Source organism: Homo sapiens, chromosome 15 (genome assembly GCF_000001405.40).
Source record: "Homo sapiens chromosome 15, GRCh38.p14 Primary Assembly".
Classification (NCBI taxonomy): domain Eukaryota; kingdom Metazoa; phylum Chordata; class Mammalia; order Primates; family Hominidae; genus Homo; species Homo sapiens.
In genome coordinates this window covers 51,506,499-51,534,448 of record NC_000015.10, presented here as the reverse complement: position 1 = coordinate 51,534,448, position 27,950 = coordinate 51,506,499, and the positions used below count along the sequence as shown (strand labels likewise).

The 27,950-nt window shown below is 37.6% G+C and overlaps 1 protein-coding gene across 22 annotated transcripts in view; it reads left to right on the top strand.

Annotated features, from left to right (window-relative positions):
* Positions 1–27,950, top strand: part of DMXL2 (Dmx like 2) — a 174,981-nt gene that overhangs the window by 88,323 nt on the left and 58,708 nt on the right. For all 22 annotated transcript variants that reach the window (NR_165648.1, NR_165649.1, XR_007064435.1 and 19 more), the window contains 3 exons: positions 17,282–17,371; positions 19,890–20,007; positions 27,196–27,315. Coding sequence is in view for 19 of the 22 variants with exons in the window: in NM_001378460.1 (NP_001365389.1) it covers positions 17,282–17,371; positions 19,890–20,007; positions 27,196–27,315 (328 nt within the window). In the remaining 3 variants the exon portion in view is untranslated. The remainder of the gene's footprint in view (positions 1–17,281; positions 17,372–19,889; positions 20,008–27,195; positions 27,316–27,950) is intronic.

The following is a 27,950-nucleotide window of genomic DNA, read 5'->3' as shown; positions in this document are numbered from 1 at the left end:
TGTACATTCTACTTGCTAGTGCTAGTTCTACTTAGAATAAATCTAATATTTCTTGCGTATGAGAGTACCTCAAGATATTAAAAGACAGCTTTCTTGTAACCTGTGAACCTTACTACCTCAGGCCAAATCTGCTCCCCCTGTGCCTATCAAGTTTCTTTATCTGTTTTACATTTGACCCTGGTTACTCTTCTGAGCAGTTTTCAGTTTGTCTGTACTCTGAGCCTTGTAGGATGACTAAAACATAGCAATATTGTGACCTCTCTCATTAGATACATTTATGTTTTGACAGTCACTCCACATTCTTCGTATGTAATTGACTCATCATGAGCTGACTGTCAATATCCCGAAGTCTTTCCCCCTCCCTGCTCTCTGCTAAACCTTGTCTTCTCCATTCTGTATTTGTACATTTGGATTTGGGGTCCAAATGTAGACCTATTTTTCCTATTACATTTCATCTTGCTAAGCACAACTAAACAGTCCAATCTCTCAGTATCTTTTTGAATCTGGATTATGTTATTTAATGTATTTGTTTTTGCTTTATGACTATGTCACCAGCCTGTTTGAAGAGTGTTATACCTGCACCATCTGAGTCAGTTATTAATATGATAAATAGGCAGGTCTGAAGAAAGAGCCTAGCAGTATACATTTGAAATCTTTCTCCATTTTCATTTTTTGGAATGTTTTCCAGCTTGTTTCAAGGATTTCTGTGAGACAGCTTGCCATATACTTTGCTGAAATAAAATACAGTCTTTCTATCTTCTGCAGTCAACGAAGAAAGTCAAAGTTACATGAGGTGATTTGTTTTAATATATGATAGGTGTAATGTGCACACCTTGACATCACTTGGTGACCAAAACATTGTACTAGGTAGACATTAAGCTCCTTGGTCTGCCCTGCAGAAGTATGTTCTTTTCCTTTTTGAAAATGGGAATTTTTGCCTGTTTTTAGTTTTTTGCTATTGATGTCATTCTCCATGATTTGGGGGATTTTGTGTTTTCTTATGGTTCTATTTGTTCTCCATTATACTCAGTGTTTTGTTTTTGGTGGTTCCTCAAGGTTTTATAATATGCATCTTTAACCTCTCATAGTCTACCTTCAAATAATAATATAGTACTCAAAATATAATGTAGCCAGGCACGGTGACTCACACCTGTAATCCAAGCACTTTGGGAATGAGATGGGAAGATTGCTTGACCCCATGAGTTCAAGACCAGCCTGGGCAACATAGTGAGACCCCCCCATCTCTAAATATATACAGTAAACAACTTTCAATAGTGTCCCCAATCTCCCTCTCCTGTGGTCTTCAGCATGCATGTCCTATGAATGTTTTGTTAGGTTTATACATAAGTATTTCATTTATTCTACTGACTGTAAAGGGTGCTGTCTTTTTAATGTTGGTGTCCATGTAGTTATGGCCAGAATATACAAATACAATTGAATATACAAATACAATTGAATTTTGTATGTTTATCTTATATCCTGTAACATTGCTGAATGCATATATTAGGTGTAGGAGTGTTTTTGGTAGATTTCTTGGACTTTTCCATGTAGATAATCATCTCATTATAAATGGGAACAATTTTATCTCTTCCTTTCTAATCTGTATGGCTTTTATTTTTCTTATTTTGTTGCAGTGACTAAAACTTCCAACTCCATGTTGAATAAGAAGTGAGATTGGATGTTCTTGCCTTCTTCCCATTTTTGGAGGAAAAGCATTCAGTCTTTGATCATTACATATAATGTTAGTTGCAGGTTTAAAAAATTTTTTTAAAATTTTTGTGGGTACATAGTAGATGTATATATTTGTGGGGTACATGAAATGTTTTGATATAGGCATGCAATTCTTAGTAATCAAATAATGGAAAATGGGGTATCTATCACCGCATACATTTATCCTTTGTGTTACAAATGATCTAATTACACTCTTCTAGTTATTTTTAAATGAGCAATTAAATTATTGACTATAGTCACCCTGTTGTGCTATCAAATACTAGGTCTTATTAATTCTAACTATTTTTTTGTACACATTAACCATCCCTACCTCCCTGCCAATCCCTTACGACCCCTCCTAGCCTCTGGTAATCACCCTTCTACTCTATCTCTATGGGTCCAGTTGTTTTGATTTTTAGCTCCCATAAATAAGTGAGGACATGCAACGCTTGTATTTCTGTGCCTGGCTTATTTCACTTAAAATAACGACCTCCAGTTCCATCCTTGTTGCTGCAAAATGACGGAATCTCATTTTTTTTTTTGGCCAAGTAGTACTCTGTCGTATGTAAGTACCACATTTTTTTTTTCTTCATCCATTCATCTGTTGATGGATACTTAGGTTGCCTCCAAATCTTGGTTGTTTTGAACAGAGCTGCAACAAACATGGGAGTGCAGATACCTCTTCAGTATACCAATTTTCGTTCTTTTGGGTATGTGCCCAGCAGTGGAATTGCTGGATTGTATGGTAGGTCTATTTTAGCTTTGTGAGCAACCTCCATACTGTTCTCTATCATGGTTGTACTAATTTACATTCCCACCAATAGCATATGAGGGTTCCCTTTTCTCCACATCTATGCCAACATTTGTTATTGCCTGTCTTTTGGATATAAGCCATTTTAACTGGGGTGAGATGATATCTTATTGTAGTTTTGATTTGCATTTCTCTGATGATCTGTGATATTGGGCACCTTTTCATATGTCTGTTTGCCATTTGTATGTCTTCTTTTAAGAAATATCTGTTCAAATGTTTTGCCCATTTTTTGATCAGATTACTAGATTTTTTCCTGTAGAGTTGTTTGAGCTTCTTATATATTCTGGTTATTAATCCCGTTTCAGATGAGTAGTTTGAAGATATTTTCTCTCATTCTGTGGGTTGTCTCTTCACCTTGCTGATTGTATCCTATGCTTTTTAACTTGATGTGATCCCATTTGTGCATTTTTGCTTTGGTTTCCTGTCCTTGTCATATATTACTCAGGAAATGTTTGCTGAGACCAATGTCCTGGAAAGTTTCCCCAATGTTATCTTGTAGTAGTTTCATAGTTTGAGGTCTTAGATTTAAATCTTTAATCCATTTTGATTTGATTTTTGTATGCAGTTAATGATAGGGGTCTGGTTTTATTCTTCTGCATATGGATATCCAGTTTTCCTGGCACCATTTATTGAAGAGACTGTCTTTTCTCCATTGTATATTCTTGGCACCTTTGTCAAAAATGAGTTCACTGTAGGTGTGTGGATTTGTGTCTGGGTTCTCTTTTCTGTTCCATTGTTCTCTGTGTGTGTTTTTATGCCAGTACCATGCTGTTTTGATTACTGTAACTCTGCAGTATTATTTGAAGTCAGATAATATGATTTTTCCAGTTTTGTTCTTTTTGCTTAGGATAGCTTTGGCTATTCTGGGTCTTTTGTGGTTCCATATGAATTTTAAATCTTTAAAAAATTTCTATAAAGAATGTCAGTGGTGTTTTTATAGGGATTGCATTGAATCTGTAGATTGCTTGGGGTAGTGTGGACATTTTAACAATATCAGTTCTTCCAATCCATGAGCATGGAATATCTTTCCATTTTTTTTGTCCTCTTCAATTTCTTTCATCAGTGTTTTACAGTTTTCATTATAGAGATCTTTCACTTCTTTCATGAATTCCTAGGTTCTTAATATTATGTATGGCTATTGTAAATGAGATTACTTTTTGTTTGCTTGTTTGTTTTTGAGACGGAGTCTCTGTCACCCAGGCTGGAGTGCAGTGGTGTGATCTCAGCTCACTGCAACCGCTGCCTCCCAGGTTCAAGTGATTCTTCTGCCTCAGCCTCCAGAGTAGCTGGGACTACAGGCATGTGCCACCATGCCCGGCTAATTTTTTTTTTTTTTTTTTAGTAGAGATGGGGTTTCATTGTGTTAGCCAGGATGGTCTCGATCTCCTGACCTCGTGATCTGCTCGCCTCAGCCTCCCAAAGTGCTGGGATTACAGGGGTGAGCCACTGTGCCCAGCTGAGATTACTTTTTCAAAATTTCTTTTTCAGATTTTTTGCTGTTGGCCTATAGAAATGCTACTGGTATTTGTATGTTGATTGATATCCTGGAACTTTACTGAATTTATCAATTCTAATGGTTTTTGGTGGAGTCTTTAGGTGTTTCCAGATGTAAGATCATGCTTTCTGCCAACAAGGATAATTTGACTTCTTCCTTTCCAATTTGGATGCCTTTTATATCTTTCTTTTGTCTGATTGCCTGAGCTGGCACTTTCCGTACTACGTTGAATAACAGTGGTGAAAGTGAGCATCCTTATTGTGTTCTAGATCTTAGAGGAAAGGCTTTCAGTTTTTCCCCATTCGGCATGATACTAGGGTATAGAAGGTATGTTCCTTCTATACCCACTTTTTTTAGAGTTTTCATCATGAAGGGCTGTTGAATTTTATCATGCTTTTTTAGCATTAATTGATGCTAAAAAATTTTTGTCCTTCATTCTGTTGTCCTTCATTCTGTTGATGAAATGTATCACATTGATTGATTTGTATGTGTTGAACCATCCTTGTGTCCCTGTTATGATAAATGATCTTTTAATCATTTTAATCATATTGTTGAATTTACTTGGTAGTGTTTTGTTTAGGATTTTTGCATCAATATTCATCAGAGTTATTGACCTGTAGTGTTCTTTTTTTGATGTGTCTTTGTTTGGTTTTGGTGTCAAGGTAATACGGCCTCATAGAATGAGTTTGAAAGTATTCCTTCCTTCTCTATTTTTCAGAATAATTTTAGTGGGATTGGTATTCGTTCCTTTTTATATGTTTGGCAGCATTCAGCAGCAAAACCATTGGGTCCTGGGCTTTTCTTTACTTAGAGACTATTTATTATGGCTTTGATCTTGTTACTTGTTTTACTGATCTATTCAGGTTTTGGACTTCTTTTGTGGTTTAGTCTTGATAGGTTGTATGTGTCTAAGAATTTGTCCATTTCTTGTAGATTTTGCAATTTATTGGCATATAGTTGATCATAGTAGCCACTGTTGATCCTTTCAATTTCTTTGGCATCAGTTGTAGTATCCCTTTTTTCATCTCTGATTTTATTTATTTGGGTCTTTTCTTTCTTTTTCTTAGTCTGGGAAAAAACTTGTCAATTTTGTTTTATCTTTTCAAAAAATTAACTTTTTGTTTTATTAATCTTTGTATGATTTTCTTTGTTTCAATTTAATTTATGCTCTGATCTTTATTATTTCTTTTCCTTTACCAATTTTGGGTTTGGTATGCTCTTGCTTTTCTAGTTCTTTAAGAGTCATCGTTAGGTTGTTTATTTGAAGTCTTCCTTGTTTTTTGATGTAGGCACTTACAGCTATAAACTTCCCTCTTTTAGTACTGCTTTTGCAGTATCCCATAGATTTTGGTATGTCATGTTTTCATTATCATTTGTTTCAAGAAATTTTTCAATTTTCTTTTTAATTTCTTCATTGACTCACTTGTCATTCAGGAGCATATTGTTTAATTTCCATATGTTCGTATAGTTTCCAAAATTCCTTGTTATTGATTTCTAGTTTTATTCCAATGTGGTCAGAGAAGATGCTTGATATTATTTCATTTCTTAAAATGTTTTAAGACTTGTTTTGTGACCTAACGTATGGTCTGTCCTCGAGAATGATCCATGTGCTGAGGAAAAGAATGTATATTCTGTAGCTGTTGGATGAAATGTTCTGTAAATATCTATTGTTTTTGATAGTACAGATTAAGTCTGATGTTTCTTTGTTGATTTTCTGTCTAGAAGATATGTCCAATTCTGAGTGATGTCGAAGTCTCAAGCTATGATTTTATTGGGGTCTATCTCTTTCTGTAACTCTAATATTTGCTTGATATATCTGGGTGCCCCAGTGTTGGGTGCATATACATTTAAAATTGTTATATTCTCTTGCTGAATTGACCCCTTCAGCATTATATAGTGACCTTCTTTGTCTCTTCTTACAGTTTTTGTCTTGAAAACTATTTTGTCTGATACATAGTATCAGAAAATAATGATACTGATATCAGTATATCTGTCTGATATAAGTATAGCTATTCCTGCTCTTTTTTGGTTTCCATTGGCATGGAATATCTTTTCCCACCTCTTTATTTTCAGCCTGTGTGTGTCTTTATGTGTGAAGTGTGTTTTTTGCAGGCCACAGATTATTGAATTTTGTTTACCCATTCAGCCACTATATGTCTTTTGATTGGAGAATTTAGTCCATTTAGTCCAAGTAATTAGTAAGTAAGGACTTACTCCTGCCATTTTGTTATTTGTTTCTGGTTGTTTTGTGGTCTTCCTTCTTTATTTCCTTCCTGTGTTTCTTTTAGTGAAGTTGACTTTTGCTGGTGGTGTGATTTAGTTTTTTGCTTTTTATTTTTGGTGTATTCACTGTATGTTTTCTAATTTGAGGTTACCATGAAGCTTGCAAATATTACCTTACAACCCATTATTTTAAGCTAATTATGACTTAACACTGTTTGCATAAATAAACAAGCAAAAAGAAAACTAATAAAGGCTCTACTCCTTAACTTTGTCCTGCTACAACTTTTTGTTGTTACTATTTGTATCTTTTTGTACCATCTGTATCTTGAAAAGTTGTAATTATTATTTTTGATTGATTCATCATTTAGTCTTTCTACTTAAGATCAATTTACACACCACAGTTACAGTGTAATATTCTGTGTTTTTCTGTGTACTTACTATTACCAGTGAGTTTTGTACCTTCAGATGACTTCTTTTTTTTTTTTTTGGAGGCAGAATCTCGCTCTTTCACCCAGGGTGGAGTGCAGTGGCACCATCTCGGCTCACTGCAACCTCTGCCTCCTGGGTGCAAGCAATTATCCTGCCTCAGCCTCCCGAGTAGCTCACTCGCACACTGCCACGCCCAGCTAATTTTTTGTATTTTAGTAGAGACAGGGTTTCACCGTGTTGCCCAGGCTGTTCTTGAACTCCTGAACTCAGGCAATCTGCCCTCCTCGGCCTCCCAAAGTGCTAGGATTACAGGCATGAGCCACCACGCCTGGCCCAGATGACTTCTTATTGCTCATTAATGTCCTCTTTTTTCTGATTTAAGAACTCCTGTAACATTTCTTGTATGACACGTCTGGTGTTGATGAAATCCCTCAGTTTTTGTCTGTCTGAAAAAGTTTTTAGTTATCCTTCATGTTTGAAGGATATTTTTACTAGATACACTCTTCTAGGGTAAATTTTTTTTTCTTTTCAGCACTTCAAATATGTCATGCCTTTCTCCTGGCCTATAAGGTTTCCACTGAAATTCTGCCGCCAGACGTATTGGAGCTCCACTGTATGTTATTTGTTTCTTTTCTCTTGATGCTGTTGGGATCCTTTCTTTATCCTTGACTTTTGGGAGTTTGATTATTAAATGCCTCGAGGTAGTCTTCTTTGAGTTAAGTCTGCTTGGCGTTCTATAGCCTTCTTGTACTCGGATATTGATGTCTTTCTGTAGTCTTGGGAATTTCCCTGTTACTATCCCTTTGAATAAACTTTCCACCCCTACCTCTTTCTTTACCTCCTCTTTAAGGTCAGTGACTCTTAGATTTGCCCTTTTGAGGTTATTTTCTGGATCCTGTAGATGTGCTTCGTTGTTTTTTATTCATTTTTCTTTTGTCTCCTCTGTGTGTTTTCAAACTCATAAATTATTTCTTCTGCTTCATCAATTCTGCTATTAAAAGACTCTGATGCATTTTTCAGTATGCTAGTTGCATTGTTTAGCTCCAGAATTTCTGCTTGATTGTTTTTAATTATTTAAATTTCTTGTTAAATTTATCTGATAGAATTCTGAATTTGTTGTCTGTGTTATCTTGAATTTCTTTGAGTTTCCTCAAAACAGCTATTTTGAATTCTCTGTCTGGAGGTCACATATCTCTGTTTCTCCAGGATTGGTCTCTGGTACCTTATTTGGTTGATTTGGTGAGGTCATGTTTTCCTGAATTGTCTTGATAGTTGTAGATGTTCTTTGGTGCATGGACATTGAGGAGTTAGGTATTTGTTGTAATCTTCACAGTCTGAGCTTACTTGTATCTGTCCTTGGGAAGGCTTTCCAGATATTTAGAAGGACTTGGGTTTTGTGATCTAAGCTGTATCTGCTTTGGGGGGACCCCAAGCCCATTAATGCTGTGGTTCTTGCAGACTCTTCGAGGTACTGCCTTGATGGTCTTGGACAAGATCTGGAAGAATTCTCTGGATTACCAGGCAGAGACTCTTGTTCTCTTCTTTTACTTTATTCCTAACAAACTCCCATTCTCTCTCTCCCTCTCTCTCTCCCCCCACCCACCCCCCTTCTTTCTCTCTCTCTCCCACCCCCTCTCTCTCCCTCTCTCTCCTTCCCCCTCCCTCTCTCTTTCTCTCTCTCTTTTCTGAGCCATCTAGAGATGGGAGTGGAGTGTCACAAGCACCCCTGTGGCCATCACCTCTAGGACTGTGCTGGGTCACACCTGAAGCCAGCACAGCACTGGTTCTTGCCCAAAGCCTGCTGTAACCACTCCCCAGCTACCACCTATGTTCTCTCAAAGCCCTGGGGCTCCTGCAGTCTGCAGGTAGCAAAGTCAGCCGGGCCTGTGTCCTTCCCTTTAGGGTGACAAGTTCCCTCATACACTGGGCTGGTCTAGAAGTACCATCTGGGAGGTAGGGAGCAGAGTCAATAATCTTAGAAATCTACCTGGTGTTCTATTGTACTGTGGCCGAGCTGGTACTCAAACCACAAGACACAGTCCCTCCTACCCTTCTCTCTCCTTTCCAAAGGCAGACGAGCTTCACCCTGTGGCCACCAGGACTTCAGGCCTACAGGGAGTACTTCCAGACTACTACCAATGTTTTCTTAAGGATCAGGAGCTCTTTGGTTAGCTTGTTGTAAATGCTGCCTAGTCTGAGACTCACCATTTCAGGGCATTGGGCTCCCTTCTGGCCCACAGAAGATCCAGAAATGCTGTAAGAGCCAGGTCCTAGAACTGGGGACTCCAAGAGCCTGCTTGGTGCTCTACTCCCTTGTGGCCAAGCTGGTACCTAAGATGCAAGATAAAGTTCCCTTTACTTTTGCCTCTGCTTCTCTCCAATTTTAATATATGTGCTGTCGAAGCGAGCACATTGCCCCTCCTTTTCTCTAGCAGGAGTCTTGCCCTGTAGCTACCATAGCTGGGAATGTGCCGAGTCTCACCTCAAGCCAGCCAGTCTCAGGGTCTCATCCAAGACCCCTGGCACAGTACCTGGATATTGCTGCTGGTTATTCAGGGCCCAGAGGCTCTTCAGTTAGCAGGTGATGAATCCTGCCAGGGGTCTTTCCCCTCATGGCAGTGGATTCCTTTCTGGCCCAGGGTGTGTCTACAAATGTCGTGTGGGAAATAGGGCCTGGAAAGGGAGCCTCATGACTCTGACTGGTGTCTTATCCTGCTGTAGCTGAGCTGGTATCCAAGATGCAAAACAAAATCCTCCCCACTCTTCTGTCGCCTCTCTTCAAGCAGAAGGAAGGAGTCTCCTTTGGAGCCGTGAGTTGTACAGCCTGGGGTTAGGGAAGGGATGATGCCAGCACTTTTTTAGCCATCCCGCCTGGTGTCTCAGTAGGTTGCATGCCTCCCCAGCCCACTGTCTTTGGCCCAGTTCAGCCCTAGGACTCATCTAGGAGTTGCAGACCTTGTGGCCTAGATTGCCTTTCAAGTTTATTTAAGGCCCCAGAGAACCTGAGCCTTGTGGTGGCAAGGCTTTTGGGGAATCAAGCTCAGACAGATAGGATCAGCGATTCCCCTCTGGGTAGGGCTCCCTCCATGGGTGAGCGTCAGCTGAGTTTGGTCTGGTTTTTCTTTCTGCTATATAACAAGGCAGCACTGACTTCAGTGCTCACAGTTGCTTGCTCTTCCTTTCCCCAGTGCACAGAAACTCTCTCAGCACCACGCTGCTGCTGCCAGGGTGTGGGAGAAGAGTGGTGTTGGTGATTCAAGTGTGTGTTTCCTACCTCTTCAGTGCTTCTTTCAGTGATAATGAAGTTAAAACTGGGTACTGTGAATGCTTACCTGATTTTTGGTTCTTATGAAGGTGCTTTTTTTCGTATAGTGGTTAAATTGGTGTTCTTGCTTGGGGGACGATTGGGGGAGCCCTCTATTCTGCCATCTTCCTCTATTCCTACCTCCAGCTGTTGGGTTATTTGTAGATACTCTTTATCAAGTTGAGGAATCAAGAAAATTAACAAACCTAGAGGAGAACTTCCTCATATGTTTTGATTTCCTTTGAGAATTTCTCTTCGACCCTCGATTACTTAGAAGTGTAAGATTTAGCTTCCAAGCGTCCTGTTACTGATTTCTAGTTTGATTCCGTCATGGTAGAAAAATGTACCGTATGATTTCAGTCCTTTTTAGTTTGTTGAAGTTTGTTTCATGGCCCAGGACCTGGTCTATTTTAGTACATGTTCCACTCACTAAGCACTTAAAAGAATGTGTATTTTGTTGTTATTGGGTAGAGTGTTCTATGAATGTTAATTAATCCTGTTTTGATTGATGGTGTTGTTGAGTTCTTCTGTATCTTTACTGATTTTCTCCCTAATCATTCTATCAAGTCTTGAGAGCGAGGTATTGCAGTCTCCAACTATATTGTGAATTTGTCTGTTTCTCCTTTTACTTCTATAAGTTTTTGCTTCACATAGTTTTCAGCACTGTTCTTTGGTGTATATACATTTAGTTCAAATTCAAGGTGTTGGCAAGGCCATGCTCTTTCTGATATTCAAGGGGAGGATCCTTCCTTGCCTCTTCCTAGATTGCTCCTGGCAGTCCTTGGTGTTCTTTGGCTTGTAGCTGCATCACTGTCTTCTCATGGCCTTCGTCCATCTGAGTGTCTCTGCGTATCCTTTTTTTGTAAGGACAGAAGTCATTAGATTTTGCACCTACTGTAATCCAGTGTGACCTTTTTTTAAACTAGTTATGTCTGCAAGACCCTACGTTCAAACAAGGTTACATTCCGAGATGCTGGGTGGACATGAATTTTGGGAGGACACTATTTAACCCACTACTCTGATCAACTTTCTTTTCTCATCAGTTATATTTGTAGTTGCATAGTCAGGAACTTTCAAAGTCTCTTGAGCCTCCAGACTTCCTTGAGCCATTTTGACTTTGAGACCCCCATGCTATAAGGCATTCTGGGATTTTTTAACCTTTCTAAAATATAGACTATAGAGTCTTGCTCTTATTTTCAGTCTTAAACTCTTAAGATGACATGACTACTTTCTGTCACATTTCCATTATTTCTGCTCATCGTTTTGATTTTCTTAATACAATAGCAGTTCTCCTACTTACTTCTTCTACTAATTGTGAGGCAAAATGTAGCAAGAATTTGTCACATGCTCTCCTATTCCTTAAATGAGATTTTTAGTAGATGACAAGTAAAGGCTAGCTTTTTAAAAATTTTGTAACAGATACTTGAAAGCTATAAATATTGTTCTGTAGGTAGAGGGGTAGATTTAGGAAGCACAGGAAGGGAAATAAAGTGATTAACTTGCAGGGTAGAGTAGAATTGGTAGGTACTGGAAGCATGGAGATAGCAGGGAGTCTGTTGAGGCCAACTAAGCATGTGGGAAAACAAACCTGATCTAAAGTGGGATTTCATAGTCTAGGAAAGGAGAAGAGCAGAGCTTAGTAGCTGCTTGAATATGGATATGAAAACAGAGGATTCCAAGTGTGATAGTTGTTCCAGTAGCTATGGCAAGATAGTTTTGAGGTATTTACAATGAGTTAAATTTGGGACATGTTGAATGTGAGGTGACCTTGGTTTTAGATTCCTAAGTTTGGCTTGTTTGTTTATTTATTTATTTTATGTTTTTATTTTTTTGAGACAGAGTCTTGCTCTATCAGCCCAGGCTGGAGTGCAGTGGCATGATATCAGCTCACTGCAACCGCTGCCTCCTAGGTTCAAGTGATTCTTGTGCCTCAGCCTCCTGAGTAGCTGGGACTACAGGCGTCTGCCACCATGCCCAGCTAATTTTTGTATTTTTAGTAGCTAGGGGTTTCACCATATTGGCCAGGCTGGTCTTGAACTGCTGACCTCAAGTGAGCCAGCCGCCTCGGCCTCCCAAGTGCTGGGATTACAGGCGTGCACCACTGCGCCCAGCCCCTAAGTTTGGTTTAGATTGGAGATACTCCTAATGTTCCACATTAGGTACCAGTGCACATTTGGGATTTATTATTACAAAGACAGTACTTGAAGTCATTAGATCTCTAAAGGCATTAGTAATAGTTAATGTTCATAAATATGACTGTCAGTCATCAAGAAGAGATTTATGTTTAGCAGGCTATTTATGAAGACAGGGATTAAGTTTTTTTTATTCCATTTAAAGTATCAAAGATACAGTTGTTTTGGTGCCTAAAAAATAAGCTTTTGAATATCTAGATTGGTGAGATGCTAGATTGGTGAGATCCATTCATTCAGGTATTTAGTGAGTACTTACTAAGGTATTCTACAAATAAATAAAGGAGAAGTCATGATGAAAGATAGGGTGGTATAGTGTGTGCTGCTATTAGTAAAAACAAGCTTTTAAAGTAGGAATGATCTAAAGTGTAATTTGTTTTCACTCAGTAACTTATTTACTCAATCTTTAATTTTTATTGAGGACTCACTGTGCATAACCTTATAGTACATGGAAGAATAAATGTGCATATTGTACCAGGTGCTAAGAGTGTTAAAATGAATAGAAGTAGTCCCTACTTTCAAGGATCTTGTATCTATAGAGTCATATAAATATGTACATATAGTATGTAATAAGTGGTAAATTAGAAGAAAAGGCTGATTTCAGGATGTGAAATTCATTTAATTGGCCTCCACTTAAGCCAGCTCATTGGATTCATTGATGCTGTCCATTCCTTCTATAAAATATAGGATGGATGCTCATAGGGAATAGTATACCAGGCTTTGTTGATTCCACAAGTTGACTTGTAACCTTAACAATAATAACAGCTGGGAAAGTTATTTAACCTGAAAAAAATGCTGCTACTACTACTACTACTACCACTACCACTACTACTACTACTACTACTACTACTACTACTACTACTACTACTACTAGCAAACTTTTATCTAGTGATTATTGTATGTCAGGCTGTCTTCTAAATGTTTTATATATATTAACTCACTTAACCTTCCTGGTAACCTTAAGAAAAATGTAATATTACTATCCATACTTTAGAGGTAAGGACACTGAAGCATAGAGAAACTTAATTACTTGTCCCAGTTTAGTCAGCTAGCAATGGTAGGACCAGGATTTGAACCCAAGCAGCCTAGCTCTAGAGACCAAACTCTTACAACTACGGCTGTCACTCAAGAGCCAGCTGTGTTTATTTTCAACCTTGTATATGTCAAGTTGTACATATTAGTGTCATTCTTAACTTAATTAAATATTATATAAATTGATGAAATGTGAGTATAAAAAACGTGAATGTTTTTATAAAAATAAGTGCTTTGGAAGCAATTTTGCTAAAAATCACTAATTAGGCATGGTCAAAACAACTGTAAAAGATTCAGGAGGAAATGGTTTAAGAAAAACTGCACTCGAATTGCTTTGTAGGTGTCTTTATGTTTTTACTCCCATTTATGTATTTATGTATTTATTTATTTATTTATTTTGAGTCTGAATCTTGCTCTGTCATCCAGGCTGGAGTGCAGTGGCGCGATCTCAGCTCACTGCAACCTCTGCCTCCCAGGTTCAAACGATACTCCTGCTTCAGCTTCCTGAATAGCTGGGATTACAGGTGCGCACTGCCACGCCCAACTAATTTTTGTATTTTTAGTAGATACAGGGTTTCACCATGTTGGCCAGGCTGGTCTCAAACTTTTGACCTCAGGTGATCCACCCAGCTCGGCCCCCCAAAGTGCTGGGATTAGAGGTGTGAGCCACCGTGTCAGCCTATTCCCATTTAAAGAACTGAAAAATACAGCCAGGGCCTTACAGGGGTGGCATACGCAAGAAAGACCTGTAATTCCCATTAGCAAGCCCATACTCCAGGGTCTTACTCAACACCAAAATATCAGTTATTTGTATACGTTTATGTTTAAAATAAAACAAAATGTTTAAAGTATACATATTATTTTAAAAATGATTCTCTGGGTTAACTGACCTTGCTGAGTGATTTGTCCTCTCTCTGTCCAATGCTGTCAGTTAAGATGGCTTTTCTTATAGTTAGAAGCAACATTTAATCCAGATTGTGATGGTTAGGAAAGAATTTCTGGTGGAGATAGATATCTGAGATAAGACTTACTGAATGGGTAAGACATGAAAGTGAAGGAGGAAAAGGATATTTCAGGTAGAGATAACAGCAACTAACAATGCACAGAGGTAGAAGAATGTGCATAGTAAACTGTAAGTAGTTTATTACAGCCATAGCATAGAATGTGAATGGCTGTTGGAAATAGCTGAGACTGGATAGGAAGTTAGAGGTTAGATTGTGAAAAAATTTGTATTGCTTTCTTTATGATTTTGCTCTGCTTTCTCAAAGTCTGTTCTCAACATAGGAGTTAGAATGATGCCCTTAAAACGTAGTTCAGGGCTGGGTGCGGTGAACCCTGTAATCCTAGCATTTTGGGAGGCCGAGGCAGGTGGATCACGTGAGGTCAGGAGTTCAAGACCAGCCTGGCCAACATGGTGAAACCCTGTCTCTACTAAAAATACAAAAATTAGCCAGGTGTGGTGGCGTGCACCTGTAGTCCCAGCTACTCGGGAGGCTAAGACAGGAGAATCACTTGAACTCGGGAGGCGCAGGTTGCAATGAGCCAAGACCATGCCATTGCATTTCAGCCTGGGCAGCAAGAGTGAAACTCCATCTCAAAAAAAAAAAAAAAAAAAAAAACAAGAGACTTTGTCAAAACCAGAGAAGCAAAGAAGGAGATTTTGAAAATATTATTAATGTGTTTGTTTCCATTAAAGCCAGAAAAATAAAACTATAATTAGTCCAATTTCTGGTATAAATAAATTTAAACTTAAAGTAATATGTGAGTTTTAATGCACCTACTTTTCAATTTTTTAGCATTTTTTAACTACTTTGATGTTCTGGAAAAATGTTAACTACAGCCAGGTGTGGTGGTTTATGCCTGTAATCCCAGTGCTTTGGGAGGCTGAGGTGGGAGGATTGCTTGAGGCCAAGAGTTTGAGACTAGCCTGAGCAACATAGTGAGACCCTGTCTCTACAAAAAAATTAAAAAATTTGTCAGGCATGGTTGCATGCACCTGTAATCCTAGTTACTTGGGAGGCTGAGATAGGAGGACCACTTGAGCCCAGGAGTTGGAGGCCAATAGAGCAAGACCCTGAAAAAAGAAAAGAAGAATGTTAACCATTAAAAAAAAATATACATCAAAACACATATGTGCAGTTTTGATGCACATTAATGGTATCAGTGTGGCTCATTAAGATACTCTTGGGTTCTATATTTAAATGTTTGATATTTTGCTCATTATGGATTGTTTACATTAATTTTGATTTTAAAATATTGCATTAAAATATTATTTTTCTTGATTATTGAATTTTTGAGCACTCTTTTAAATTTTGCACCCTGGGCGAATGCTTTACTTCATTCTAATTTCCAGTAGTATCTTCCACTATAAAATGAGTTCCTTGGTTGGAGGTGATGTTGAGTGAGATTCTGTAGAATTCTGGAATTCTGTAGTGTAGTGTTCAGAAAGTCTGTTAATTATAGTGCTGGCAGAGAGTTGTGGGCAGGGAAAGCAAATCCTTAGCTGGAATACATAACTATTCTTGTGAGGGGATCTCAACCTTGGCTGCACATTGGAAGCACCTCAATCTCTGTGGGTGGGACCTAAGCATCATTGATTGTTAAAGCTCTCCAGGTGATTCAGTGTGCAGCCAAGATTGAGAACCAGTGATCTACAGCAGTCCTTCTTAAACTTTAATATACGCATGAATCCTATGGAAGTCTCATTAAAATACAGATGTCTTAGTTTCAGGGAGTAAGTATGCATTCATAAAAAGCTTCCCATCACTGCTGGTCCATTGACTACACTTTGAGTAGCAAAGCTTTGTTGTGTGCTACAAAAATTTCACTGTTTTCACCTCACCAACTATAGGCCACAGTTGAGTCCAGATTTCAATGAACAAACCCAGCAGACTGTTAACACCATTTCTTTTTTTTTCCTTTTTGGACGGAGTCTCGCCCTGTCACCCAGGCTGGAGTGCAGTGGTGCAATCTCGGCTCACTGCAACCTCCGCCTCCCAGGTTCAGGTGATTTTCCTGCCTCAGCCTCCTGAATAGCTGAGATTACAGGCACCCTCCATCACTCCCCACTAATTTTTATATTTTTAGTAGAGACGGGGTTTCACCATGTTGGCCAGGCTGGTCTCTTAACTCCTAACCTCAGGAGATCCACCTGCCTTGGCCTGTCAAAGTGCTGGAATTACAGGTGTGAGCCACCACCCTGGCCCTGTTAACACCATTTCTAAATGTCTGAGCTAACACTTTAAATCATGAATCTTGGGTGAACATACCCATATCAGTAAATTCAGCCCTACCTAACTACATATTTTTTTCTTTTGATCTAATAACCCTAGAATCAATTTTCTTACATGCTCTCTGGAATCCTACTGATACAAATAAGAAAGTTTCTACAACTCCAGTGTATATGCTTGTACTTATATCTCCCTACCTTGTACTTATATCTCTAGGCGAAGCTAGCCTCTAACCCCTCTTATTGGCCTTTTTGAGGTAGTGAAAAGTGGTAAAGGTGGGTGCTGAGGAGAATGGGCATTTCTTTCTGAGGCAACCGTTTCAGATGAAGTTACTGAAAGGTTTTTATGCAAGAGAAAGCTGGTTGGAACATGGGTGAGGAGGACTGTTCTTTTTAGCAGAAAGTTTTGGGATTTTGGGGTTCCAAAGTTAGGCTTCATTTGTTTGTTCATACATCCTTATCCCAAGGCACAAGAGTCCCACTTCTTCTCAACCCTTGCCCTTACCTTCGGTCTGGCAGGGTTGTACTTTTAAATGGCATTGCACATCTGCAGACCACTCAGGCATTGGGCCAGATCTTCAGCCATGTCTGTCTTGGGCTTTAAGGTTGCAAAAATGAAGAAGATATGATACCTTGAAGTTATATGCTATTTTTGTAAACATTATAGTTTTCTCTCTGCTTAACTTTAGACTTAACATGAGAATGAGTATGGAAAGTTGAAGTATTTCTTTGAATGTATTACATTCCATTGCCAATCAGTGAATATTTAGAGGGGGCCTTAAATGTCCAAGATGCTGTATCATATTGACATTAGATTATAATTTGTTGGCCATTAACATTTTGTGTTTTTTATTTACAGAAACTTATTGGAGAAGTGTTTAATATTGTGAGCCAACAGTCTACTGCTCGACCTGGCTGCATTATTGAACTCGACGCAATAACCAACCAAGTAAAAACATGCTTGTGAATTGGTGATATTCGTATACTTTATCCCATGGTGTTTTATATGTATATGATATATGTCATTCTCAGAATAATTTTCTTGTTTGTTATTAAATGCAGACAACTTATGTTGATTCCCATAGTGAAAATCTACTAATGATTTAGGGATTATTTTTCTCCTTGGGAAACCAAGAACTGTATGTTCTCATTTATAAGTGGGCGCTAAGCTATGAGTATGCAAAGGCATGCAGAGCAATATAATGGACTTTAGAGACTCAGAAGAGGGAGGGTGGAAATGGAACTAGAGATTTGAAAAACCACATGTTAGGTACAGTGTACACTACTTGGGTGATGGGTGCACTAAAATCTCAGAATTCACTACTAGTTCATCCATGTAACAAAAAAACCACTTGTACCCCAAAAGCTATTTAAGTAAAATTTTTTAAAAAAGGAATTATTCTTCTCCAGTTGAATTGTATTTGTAGCAAAGGAAATTTGATTCATTTAGAGAAACCATGACCTTGATCTTGAAATGCTGAGAGAAAATACAGTGCAGCTGCATAGAAGGGTCGGGTTGTGGTTTCTCATTTTATATTATTACTCTTTTCAACTCAATAGAGGGTAACCTCAGTTTCAGAGTGTTTGCCTTGTTAGGCCCCATGTTGGGTACTTTTGTGAGGTCCTTTAAAATGCAGATGAAAGTCAGATTCAAGTGGACATATACTTTTTAATCACAGGTCCTTTGTGTAGTATTCCTCCCCAGCTACTACCTAGGAAAGAAGGAGAACCCTTCTCCCTAGAGGGAGATGTAAAACCCATTTTAGCCCTCAGGATATTTGTTTCTTTAGGACTATGTTTATGGTCTAAGGGATAGAACTAACATTTATTCCAAATGTGAAAAGGATTAGTTTGGTAAAGAAGCTACCAATAGTTTTAAACAAGGAAATGAAGAAAGAGCCAACTATAGTTGAAAGCAAGTATAGAGTTACATCATAAATTTTCTTTAGTGTCTTGCACTTTCTATTGGGGAAAATGTACTCATTTCTGCTAATATAGATAAAATACATCATCTCTTGATAGCAGAACTGGGGCTGCCAGACCCATATTGCTAATACCTCCTGGGAAATGCTTAACTTTTTAATCCCCAGTGCCCCACCTTTCTTCAGATTCAGCCTGTGATTTCTTTTTTCTACTCAATAGGAATGTAGAAGAGTGGGTTGGCTTCCTTCCTATAGATAACTTAATTTTTAATGGATTGGATGTTAAATTCATCCCCTACTTTAGCCTCCTTTGCACTCATTACCATGGGATATTAACACAGTCTGCTCTCACAAAGCAGTTTTTTTACTTCATATTTGCTCAACACTTTTTCCCCTGCTCCTTGTGCCTATTTTTAACACAGGGGCTGGTAAACTGTAAGCAATAATGAATGACAAAGTTTAAAATTCTTTCTAGGTTTGTTCCCAATGTGTTGTATGATTTCTATATCTGTGAAGACATCACCCTTCTCTTTACTTTCATCTATTGTTTGTCCCTTGGGGAAATGACCTCCTAGACAATGAATGTGAAGAGATTTTTAATGTTTCTACCTAGAGAAACACAAAATACCCTATAACTTTCATAAAATTGTATGGCCCAACCTAATATTATAATCCTTTTATTTCTTTCTATTATGTAAAGAGGCAGGTTTTCCTTTATTCTATAAGATTATAGACTCCTCATCCAATGCCAAGATAATCATAGCTGCTTCCTTTTCTTGAAATCTCTGGGGGAGCCATCTGATTGATTGTCTTAATACACTTCCAAAATAAGCTTTTGTTTGGATCTAGCCTTTCCTTGAACTTCAGTTCCTGTTAAGGTTCTAAGTAGCCATTCGTGATAGTCTTAAAACATGGTCATGGAGCATAGCAGTTGACAGTGATGTTTCATCCATCCTTCGAGGGGTTCTAGTTACTTATGTGTAAGTTTAGTTCTCTAGAGATGTATCATCCTGCTGGCTGTTATAGGATCCCTCATAATTCCCACTAGACAGAGCTATTGGGATACTTCGAGGAGCTTTCTGGGTTTTGTTTTGTTTTTTGGTTCTCCAGTGGAATTGAAAAAATTACAAGTTGTGTAGTAGTCTAGTGTGTCTTACATAGTGCAGCCCTCCCTAGTCAGTTGTGAATCTGATGCTTTCAGGCTCAAAGTGGTGAAGGTTGCTTAACTGTTCTTTAAATTTGGAATTTGGGTTTTTTAGCATCTTTTTTTTTTTTTTTTTCCTGAGAAGCAAACCTGTTGATTTGTTTGTACTAGAGCTCTTCTATTCTGCTATTGGCTGTGACATTTTTGAAAGTAATTTTTCTCTGACCAGGATAGTTTTAATGATTCTCTTCTGTTGCTTTTTTCTTTCTAATTAGTAGTGGTAAAGAATAGAAATTGTTAGATATATTTCTTCTGCATTAGCATTGGGGAGGTGACAGATGGGAGATGGGAGACAGGGAATTTCAAAGATAAAACCTCTTCATTTTTTTTTGTATTTGTAGTGTGGCTCAAATACACAGTTGCTTCATGTGTTTCAAGAAGACTTCATTATAGGATATAAACCACATAAGGAAGATATGGAGAAAAAGGAAACAGAAATATTTTTTCAGCCATCACAAGGTACTTTAAAAAAATAGTCTGCATTTGTTTACCTTCATGCTAAAAAATGATCTCTAAGTTTTCACTGAGTATGGATCTTCAAAAGTTACCACTCTCATAATTTTTGACAGATTCACCAGTTAGTTCTGTCAAAATTGCTTGCTTGTAGATGAAGAGGGCTGTGGGTGAAAATTACTTTTTGCAAGACAATTCATTGGTGACATCAACTTTTACTAAGAAATGGTATCTGTGAACCTTAATTTGTTTTAAAAAGTAAGTTTCTTCAACTCTATAATTAAATTATTTTGATTGGTAGTTCCATTTGGTATCTTAAGGAAAACAGTTAATTTTATTACAGGTTTTAAAAAATTACCAGTAAATTGCTTCAGACCAATGATGAATATAAGATATAAGGTATCATGTTGTGTGGGACACTAGAAACCTCATGGAAATAGTGAATGCAAGGTACCATCTCACAGTTTTCCCCTTTGAAGTGTGGTATTTTTTCCTTTTTGTGAAAGTAAGTAGTTTAACCCTTTCAAAAACAAACAATATGACGTTTAGTTTAAACTTTATAACTTAGCTTAAAATGTTCCCTTCAGACGTTAAACTTTTATTTAAGTTTTTTAAATTGGCAAATAAAATTGTGTGTATATATATAACTTCATAATTATAAAACCAACATGTTCTATTTGAAAAGCCATGTCTTTAAGAATTAAGTGTCTATGGCGAATATTTAGTTTACAAAGGGTTTTCAGATAATTAATCTCATGTGGTTACAAATTGTGAATATCCAGATGGACATATTTAATTTTCTTAGTGTAGTCTTCATCACGAAATTATGTATAGCATCTAAGGAAACTGTTTCTATGTAATTTGTGCAGACAATTTCCTTCGCTTTAGTGAAAATCAGATTGAGGTCCTGTATTCTAAGAAGCTTAGCTCAAACATCTTTTCACTCGTCAGACTAGTAACTTGTTTTTCTTTCGTATATCTTTCTTCATACACAAAACTTTTCTTATTTGTGTTATTCAATTATGTTAAGTTTTATTTCACTATCATTATAACAGCAGTACTGCTTTACCAATTTAAAATTTACTTTTCTGTAGTATCTTACCTTTGCCTGGGTTAATCTTTTTAATATGGTTTCCAACAAATGTAGCTGCCATTTATCACATTATTTCTAACAGGAAAGATATGCCAGCTTACCAGAATTCAATGCTTATATAAAGTTGGTACTTTTCTTTATAATATTTTAATTGACTTGCATTAAAAATTTTCTTTATTTCTCGCTTTTGATATTTGTTATGCCACTGCTAAATCAGGCCAAAAGATTTCCTCAGTGCTTTCTTGGTTTTCCTTTAGTTTTTGTGTGAAATTTCTCTTTCTTCCTGATTTTATAGCTGTGTTCTTAAAGGACTTGTGTAGGTTTCTCCTCTTCTCTGCCTCTGCTTTATTTTGTACTAAGTTTTAATTTAAAGTTAATTACCCTTTTAGTTAAGAAAAATGCCAAAAATAGACAAAATTATAGTGCATAATTAAATGAACCTCCATATTCCCATAATGTAGGTTAAAGATTTTATCACACTTGCTTTGTCTACACAATTTTTCTTTTCCTTTTCCCCCCGAATTTTTTTTTTTTTTTTCCGAGACAGAGTTTGCTTTGCTGCCCAGGCTGGAGTGCAGTGGCGTCATCTCAGCTTACTGTAACCTCCACCTCCCAGGTTCAAGCAATTCTCCTGCCTCAGCCTCCCGAGTAGCTGGGATTACAGCTACTCGGCTGTAAGCCCACCTGGCTAATTTTTTTGTATTATTACTAGAGTCAGAGTTTTACCCCATTGGCCAGGTTGGTCTTGAACTCCTGACCTCAAGTGATCAGCTCACCTTGACTCCCAAAGTGCTGGGATTACAGGCGTGAGCCACTACGCCTGGCCCCCCTGAAATATTTTAAAGCAAATCCACCTACAGTGTTGTTTCACTTCCATATGCGTTTCTAAAAATAACTTCCTTACATATTTGCTGTTATCAAATTGATAATAAAATTCCTCAGAATCGTGCAATAACTACTCCATATTTCTTCCAGTTGTCTAAAAAATGTTGAGCTTTTTGTTTGTTTATGTGTTTTTGTTTGAATCTATATCCAAACAAAGTTTACATATTGTGTTTTCATTGTCTATTTAAAGAGTATTTTAATCTAAAGTGATACCTTATATACACCCTCATTATGCCACTGACTTGTTTTAGAGCAAGTTTATTTTTATTATTATTTTTTATTATACTTTAATTTCTGGAATACATGTGCAGAACATGCAGGTTTGTTACATACGTATACATGTGCCATGGTGGTTTGCTGCACCTATCAACCCATCATCTACATTAGGTATTTCTCCTAATGCTATCCCTCTCTTAGCCCCCCACCCCCCAACAGGCCCTGGTGTGTGATGTTCCCTTCCCTGTGTCTGTGTGTTCTCATTGTTCAACTCCCACTTATGAGTGAGAACATGCAGTGTTTGGTTTTTCTGTTCCTGTGTTAGTTTGCTGAAAATGATGGTTTCCAGCTTCATCCATGTCCCTGCAAAGGACATGAACTCATCCTTTTTTATGGCTGCATAGTATTCCATGGTGTATATGTGCTACATTTTCTTTATCCAGTCTATCATTGATGGGCATTTGGGTTGGTTCCAAGTCTTTGCTATTGTGAACAGTGCCGCGATAAACATACATGTGCATGTGTCTTTATGGTAGAATGATTTATAATCCTTTGGGTATATACCCAGTAATGGGATTGCTGGGTCAAATGGTATTTCTGGTTCTAGATCCTTCAGGAATTGCCACACTGTCTTCCACAATGGTTGAACTAATTTATACTCCCACCAACAGTGTAAAAGCCTTCCTGTTTCTCCACATCCTCTCCAGCATCTGTTGTTTCTTGACTTTTTAATGATTGCCATCCTAACTGGCATGAGATGGTATCTCATTGTGGTTTTGATTTGCGTTTCTCTAATGACCAGTGATGATGAGCATTTTTTCATATGTTTGTTGGCCACATAAATGTGTTCTTTTGAGAAGTGTCTGTTCATATCCTTTGCCCACTTTTTGATGGGGTTATTTTTTTCTTGTAAATTTGTTTAAGTTCCTTATAGATTCTGGATATTAGCCCTTTGTCAGATGGATAGATTGCAAAAATTTTCTCCCATTCTGTAGGTTGCCTGTTTATTCTGGTGATAGTTTCTTTTGCTGTGCAGAAGCTCTTTAGTTTAATTAGAACCCACTTGTCAATTTTGGCTTTCGTTGCCATTGTTTTTGGTGTTTTAGTCATGAAGGCTTTGCCCATGCCTGCGTCCTGAATGGTATTGCCTAGGTTTTCTTCTAGGGTTTTTATGATTTTAGGTCTTACGTTTCAGTCTTCAGTCCCTCTTGAGTTAATTTTTGTATGAAGTGTAAGAAAGGGGTCCAGTTTCAGTTTTCTGCATGTGGCAAGCCAATTTTCCTAGCACCATTTGTTAAATAGGGAATCCTTTCCCCATTGCTTGTTTTTGTCAGGTTTGTCAAAGATCAGATGGTTGTAGGTGTGTGGTGTTATTTCTGAGGACTCTGTTCTGTTCCATTGTTCTATGTATCTGTTTTGGTACCAGTACCATGCTGTTTTTGTTACTGTAGCCTTGTAGTATAGTTTGAAGTCAGGTAGCGTGATGCCTCAAGCTTTATTCTTTTTGCTTAGGTTTGTCTTGGCTACGAGGGCTCTTTTTTGGTTCCATATGAAATTTAAAGTGTTTTTTTCTAATTCTGTGAGGAAAGTCAATGGTAGCTTGATGGGGATAGCATTGAATCTATAAATTACTTTGGGCAGTATGGCGATTTTCACAATATTGATTTTTTCCTGTCCATGAGCATGGAATGTTTTTCCATTTGTTTATGTCCTCTCATTTCCTTGAGCAGTGGTTTGCAGTTCTCCTTGAAGAGGGTCTTGTAAGTTGTATTCCTAGGTATTTTATTCTCATTGTAGCAATTGTGAATGGGAGTTCACTCATGATTTGGCTCTCTGTCTGTTATTGGTGTATAGGAATGCTTGTGATTGTTGCACATTGATTTTGTATCCTGAGACTTTGCTGAAGTTGCTTATTAGCTTAAGGAGATTTTGGGCTGAGACGATTGGGTTTTCTAAATATACAGTCATGTCATCTGCAAAGAGAGACAATTTGACTTCCTCTCTTCCTATTTGAATACCCTTTATTGCTTTCTCTTGCCTGATTGCCCTGGCCAGAACTTTCAGTACCATGTTGAATAGGAGTGGTGAGAGAGGGCATCCTTGTCTTGTGCTGCTTTTCAAAGGGAATACTTCCAGCTTTTGCCCATTCAGCATGATATTGGCTGTGGGTTTGTCATAAATAGCTCTTATTATCTTGAGATAAGTTTCATTAATACGTAGTTTATTGAGAGTTTTTAGCATGAGGGGCTGTTGAATTTTATCAAAGGCCTTTTCTGTATCTATTGAGATAATCATGTGGTTTTTGTCATTGGTTCTGTTTACGTGATGGAGTACATTTATTGATTTGTGTACGTTGAACCAGCCTCTCATCCCAGGGATGAAGCCGACTTGATCGTGGTGGATAAGCTTTTTGATGTGCTGCTGGATTCGGTTTGCCAGTATTTTATTGAGGTTTTTCGCATTGATGTTCATCAGGGATATTGGCCTGAAATTTTCTTTTTTTGTTGTGTCTCTGCCACGTTTTGGTATCAGGATGATGCTGGCCTCATAAAATGAGTTAGGGAGGAGTCCCTCTTTTTCTATTGATTGGAATAGTTTCAGAAGGAATGGTACCAGCTCCTCTTTGTACCTCTGGTAGAATTTGGCTGTGAATCTGTCTGGTCCTGGGCTTTTTTGGTTGATAGGATATTAATTACTGCCTCAATTTCAGAACTTGTTATTGGTCTATTCAGGGATTTGACTTTTTCCTGGTTTAGTCTTTGGAGGGTGTATGTGTCCAGGAATTTATCCATTTCTTCTAGATTTTCTAGTTTATTTGTGTAGAGGTGTTTATAGTATTCTCTGATGGTAGTGTTTATTTCTGTGGGATCAGTGATGATAGCCCCTTTATCATTTTTTATTGTGTCTGTTTGATTCTTTTCTTTTTTTCTTTATTAGTTTGGCAAGTAGTCTATCTATTTTGTTAATCTTTTCAAAAAACCAGCTCCTGGATTCACTGATTTTTGGAAGGGTTTTTTGTATCTCTGTCTCCTTCAGTTCTAGAGCAAGTTTTTTTTTTTAAAGAAGTTTCTCTGACTACTTACTTGTGATGTTGTTTAAACTTTTTCTTGTCTACTGTATTGCCTGTACAGTGGAAGTTAGCTCTACAGACTTGATTAGATCTGGGTTCAACATTCTGGGTGATGCCATGTACTTCATATGTATCATACCAGAAAAAAAAATTTGGATATCTCACTTTTAGTCATATTAAGATTCGGAAGATTCAGTTGGTGGTGGTGTCATTATAGTTTGACAGCAGTCTTTATCTCATGGCTTCTTCCATTGAATATTATTGATCTTAAACCAGTTATTTCATTAGGGATTGAAAAATTATGATTTTCCAATTTTATCAGTTCTCATTTATTTATTAGCTGGAAAGCATCTGTAAAGAAAAGCATTTCTTTATCAACTAGGGCTATTGGATTACTTTGAAAAACAGTTCTTTTTGGAAAGGTTAAGTGCTTAGTTATTTCCATTTAATTGACAGTTTCAGAATGAGGAGTCTGCGCGCTGGTTATCTCTAGCTGCTACTGTTGAATTTATTGTTGTTGTTGGATTTCTTTGTCTTTTAAGTATCAATATGAACTCATTTTAAGAAAACTCTTTAATGAACTATAATATACATACAGAGAAGTACTCATATAACTCAATGGATTTTTAGGTATGTAGGATATTTCAGTCAGTTGCAGTCATTTTTTAAATGCTTACATAGTGCTATATTAGGCTAGTAAGTAGCATTTGAAGTAGGTCCTGTGTCCTTTTGACATAACCTCATTATTGTAATAGTTTACTTTCTTTCAGGAGCAAGATTTTCCTGGGTTTATCTTGTAGCTGTCCTTTGCAAGAATGGAATCATCCTTCCAAACTGTTTCTTTTTTAAAAATTATTATTATACTTTAAGTTCTGCGATAGATGTGCAGAACATGCAGGTTTGTTACATAGGTTTACACGTGCCATGGTGGTTTGCTGCACCCATCAACCTGTCATCTATGTTAGGTCTTTCTCCTAATTCTTTCCCCTTCCTAGCCCCCTACCCCCAAACAGGCCCTGATGTGTTATGTTCCCCTCCCTGTGTCTATGTGTTCTCATTGTTCAACTCCCACTTATGAGTGAGAACATGCGGTGCCAGACTGTTTCTTCTAATGAAAATGGTTAGAGGCCACAATTTTAACTCTAGCAGCGCTCATTACCAATATGTTGTCATTATGAGTTTTAATGATTAAGGAAAGCTTTTATTATCCTGCATTAGATCTCATTTTCAGTTATGAAGAATCTAATTTTCAGCAGGGAAAATTATATATACAAGTAATGTCTTTTTTTAAAAAATGCATGAAATTTCTACAAAATTTTTTCTTTACCCTACCACTGCTCCTTCCCCCACAACTTAAGTTTTTTTTTTTTTTAATGCTGTTTTCATGCAAGAAAAGCAGGATGAATGTTTATTTTATTATTTCTTTTTAATTGCCAGTTTTCTAAATAAGGCGTAAGTGCCCCAGTTACTCCAGGGGCATCCTGTGAGGCTGGCTTGAGCTTTTGTGTGCTCAGCACCCCGCTTCCTTCCCTTCTATCCTCCTCCCATTCTTCTGCTGCTGCTTTCTTTCCTTTGCTTTCTTTTTTATGTACCCTTTTTTGGTATTTGTGTGAACTCATAGTTTGTAATAGGATAAATACGTTTTAACAAATTGTATTCAGTTTTATTCTTTGATGCTCAAAATGTCCCCTCTTTGACTAGTAGGTATCCTTTCATGTTAGCTTTTGTGTACTTTTGACGTAATTTCATTAGTCCTTGATAGCTATCTAACTTTCGGTACAAAAATTATATAAAACTCCTCCTTAAAGTCTTTCTTGCCTTTTCTTCCCAACTTCCATGCATATCAAGAGGTGGTGGTAGCTTTTAAAAAGTGTTTTTTTAACCCCATAAAAACATACTAATTTAAATATCCTTTTCCTTTGAATAATAGGATACCGCCCACCACCATTTTCAGAAAAGTTCTTTCTAGTAGTAATTGAGAAGGACAGCAATAATAACTCTATTCTGCATATGTGGCACCTTCATCTTAAATCTGTACAAGCATGTTTAGGTAAGTAATTATAGTTTTATACAGAGATGATACATAACAAATTTATTTTATAGAATATGCTTTACTTTGGTTAATTCTGTAAAATGAAGTTCCATTAAACTGTAAATTGAGTTGCTGAATTATGTCTCTTCTAAACTTTTAATTACAAGGTCATAAATCATTAATGAAACTGGTTAATTCTAAAAACCAGCCTAAGGGCACATTAGACATATTGAAAAAAAATAAAAGCTTTGTTTATTTTTTTCAGTGAATATTTATTGAGTGTACATTATGACTGTTCTAGATGTCCATAGAACTAATATTGTACTTTTTTGTTAATACACATTCCCATCCAATACACTGCACATCATCAGCTTTATCATCATTAAAATAAGCAGAATTGGCTGGGCGCGGTGGCTCACGCCTGTAATCCCAGCACTCTGGGAGGCCGAGGTGGGCGGATCACGAGGTCAGGAGATCGAGACCATCCTGGCTAACATGGTGAAACCCTGTCTCTACTAAAAATACAAAAAATTAGCCGGGCGTGGTGGCGGGCGCCTGTAGTCCCAGCTACTCAGGAGGCTGAGGCAGGAGAATGGCGTGAACCCGGGAGGCAGAGGTTGCAGTGAGCTGAGATTGCACCACTGCACTCCAGC